A 3699-nucleotide genomic window follows, 5' to 3' on the forward strand; every position below is an offset into this window, starting at 1 on the left:
GCCCATGCTCCCCATGACCTGCCTGTCTGCCTGCTCCCACTAGGGGTTTTGAGCAGCGGGGCACTGAAGAAGCGAGCCATACCACCATAGCACACCCTGCGAGAGGCACAAGGGAACTTTGCCCATTTCACAAGCACAAAATGAATGGTTAGACCCTGAAACTATTAGGGTCCTTTCCAACTCTGAGACTCTCATCTAGGACTGATAACCCCAGACAACGGGTCACATTTACTGACAAACACTAGTTCTGTTCCTTATGCCAGCAAAGCATGAGTAGTCCCAGAGTACTGCCCAAAAGCCCCAGTCCATCCCTTGGTTTTCAATTAAAGCATTTCTTATTGGTTTCAAAGAAAGCCCATGGTGACAAAGTCAAGATTAAGCCAAATGCTTTTGATGTTTATCAAATACCAGAGCTACATCTTTGTCTTCCATAGAAGAAACTGAGAAAATTGTGTTCATAAGATTTCAGCGACAGAAATCATTTACCCAGAATGATTTTCCTCTGCATGCCAATGCAGGGCTGATGATGGTGAAGACTGGAGTCACAGACGGTATGGGGGAGGACCTCACTGAATGCTTTACCAGGTGTGACTTGCAAAGCAGCAAGTCACAAATCTTTCACAGACACCTAGAACCAAATTAAATCTGAAGAACAATAAAAATAATGTCATTATTTTAAGAAAAGGTATTTTATAAAACCAAAGAATCAAGACAGAAGACCACAAAACAGAGAAAGCTGGGAGGGACCCATCCTGGTTTTTTTTGAGATGGAGTCTTCCTCTGTCGCCCAGGCTGGAGTACAGTGGCACCATCCACTGCACTGTAACCTCCACCTCCTAGGTTGAAGCAATTCTCGCACCTCACCCTCCTGAAAAGCTGGGATTACAGGCACCCACCACCATGCCCAGCTAATTTTTGTATTTTTAGTAGAGATGGAGTTTCACCATGTTGTCCAGACTGGTCTCAAACTCCTGACCTCAAGTGATCCGCTGGCCTAGGTCTCTCAAAGTGCTGAGATTACAGGCATGAGCCCCTGCGCCCGGCCTCATCATCTTTTTTTGTGACCAGTACTTTCTTTCTCAAAACACTACCTACCAGTCTTCTGTTATTCAAAATCCCCTTGGCTCAGACCTACCAGAGAAAGGGGGCCATCTCTCTCTCTACCATCATGGGCCACATATGGTTCTTTTGAATAGGGGCAGATAGTCAGAATATGATTGAGACGAGAGTTATAGAGAGCTGCCCAGAGACTTTCAAATTATGAGACCTAAGACATTTGCCCTGGCCTATTCTAAGGCCCCTTTATACCCTGGGCCACATAGAAATAATTCCTATATAGACACCCCTAATTCATATATTATTGAGAAATGCTTTATTTTTTCATTTCCCTAGAGAAGAAGTGCTCACTTTTGTTCTTGTTTTTGTTTTTAACTGGCTTTGTTATTCTTGGGCATGAGATGGTATTTAATCCTTTTATCCACTTATTGAACAAATACGTCGGGCACTGGGAATACAATTGAGCTGAACTGAACTGGTAAAATCATTGCCCTCAAGGAGCTGGCATTCAAGTGGCTGACATGATACCATTTTCTGTGTCTCAGAAGATGACCACGGAGAACTTGATCTAAACTGGGAACTTTGATGATGTATTTCATGTCAATGAGTCTGTTCTAAAAAGCAAAGAAAAACACACCGTGCTCTATCATAGTGTTAGTATACAGACCTCCATGAGGTCCTAAAAAGTCAGACTGTAAGGGACTAATTCAGATGGTTGAAATTCAGGGAGGCAAAGTGACAGAACCTTTTCAAGCTTCTATGCGGGAGGTGAGGGACGGGATATAATGAGAATCTGGCAACACTCGGTAAATTATCTTCTGAATTGATTCAAATTTTTGCAGCAAGCCTTTCTGTGCAAATTTCCATGACTTCTTCATGGTAATTAGTTTCATGGAATATTGCCAAATGGCATATTTTTCCTACTTCGAGCCACTTTATAAGCACTCCTGGGAATGTCTGAAATATGAGATAAGCACTCTTAACCCAAAGTTTTATTAAAAAGTTTAATGAACACAAATACCAAATGACACATTCATTGCCATTAAGTATGTAGACTCTCTGTAAATCTGTGAACTACTGGGCGACTATAAAACCTACTTCCCTCAGCAACCACAGAAGCTTTATTTCTCTTCCTGAGCAGGCATGGGAGCCCTCCGGATGCACCTCGCCATCTCCAGCCTCCCAGATTCTCAGGACTCCACTGCATGCACTGAAGCATGGTGGTGGTTGTGAATTCCCTCTCGGCTCCTTCTCTGTCAAGTCCTCCCTCCCACTAGTACTGACCTTACCCTGCCAGTCCTTGCGCTTTTGATCTTCTTCGCATTGCCCTCCAGGAAGCCTCAGGCCACATAAGAACTTTCTCATTGTCTAACATCATCCCCAAATAAGAAACATGCATTTACTAAATGTTCTCTCAAACTTCCAGAACATAGAGAATTACTTAATTTTTTTTTTGTTCTGGGCACAATCCTCTACTAGAATCTTAGTTCTTCAAAGGCAGGGACCATCTTTTTATACGCCCTAGAATCTTCAGCATTGAACAAAGTAGAAGCTGAACAATTTGCAGAATGAAGAAATGGAGCCATGGTCTTGTCTCTCATCTTCTCTTTGCTGTTTTAAAATGTTTTTTTCTGGAGAGAATTGTCCTTTCCCATTATGTTCTCTGAGGTCCCTGTGTTCCCTCAAGCCCTCTACTCTCTCTTTAGACAATTCCTTATAGTATAATCATTTCTAATAAAAATACACTAGCTACTCAACATGCAATATGCAGAGTAACTGAAGGAAAGGTCTAAAAAGATTTTCTGAAACTTTAGATTGCAGTAAAATTAACGGCAGAGGCTACTACACATTGCTTAGCAGTTTCAGCTTAATCAGTGATCAGAAGAAAATATTAATATATTTACAAACACTAGCAGAGAGTATGCAGAGGCTATGGCAAAAGGAAGGAAGTGGAAAGAACAGAAATCGACAGAGCTCACGGTACCTGCATCAGTTATCTATTGCCACAAAAGTGCTGCATAGAAAAGAGCGGTGGGTTACAGGATAAGCATTTATTTTTGCCCAAAGTCTCTCATTTTTCTAGGTTGTTTTGCTGATCTGGGCTGTACTTGGCTGAGAATAGCTGGATTTATTCATGTATCTGTGGTCAGCTGGTGAGTCAGCTAAGGGCTGGCTGGTGTCAGATGGCTAGAGCCTCTGAAGGGTTTGGTTCCATATGTGCTTTTAGCCTCCAGGAAACTAGCCTAGACTTGTTTTTATGCAGGTGGAAGACCTCTGAGAGAGTGAAAGCAAGAGCAAGAGTGAGAGAGCAAGCATGTTCAGAAGCTCACCAAACTTCATGACGCCTAGGCTTAAAACTGGCAGATTGTCACTTCCACCTCATTATGTTGGCCAAAGCAAATTTCAAAGCCAATATAGATATAAGGAATGGAAAAATATACTCTGTCTCTTGGTGGGAGGAGCTGCAAACTCACATTATAAAGGGTTTGGATATAGAGAGGGGTACAAAATTGGAGCCATTTTTCAATCAAACCATCATACTTAACTCAGCCTCATTTTTTTTAAATTGAGACAGGAAGTCATTCTGTCACCCAGGCTGGAGTGCAGTGGCACAATCTCAGCTCACTGCAACCTCTGCCCTAC

The 3699-nt window shown here is 42.4% G+C and overlaps 1 annotated feature.

The window, feature by feature from the left end:
* Positions 3239-3418: an enhancer, noted in NCBI's record as "active region_21797". NCBI's record gives its function as "activates an Ori minimal core promoter by ATAC-STARR-seq in GM12878 lymphoblastoid cells {active_cell/tissue: GM12878}" and the evidence as "EXISTENCE:reporter gene assay evidence [ECO:0000049][PMID:35858748]".

This window comes from Homo sapiens, chromosome 4, assembly GCF_000001405.40.
Source record: "Homo sapiens chromosome 4, GRCh38.p14 Primary Assembly".
In the NCBI taxonomy this organism is placed as follows: Eukaryota; Metazoa; Chordata; class Mammalia; order Primates; family Hominidae; genus Homo; species Homo sapiens.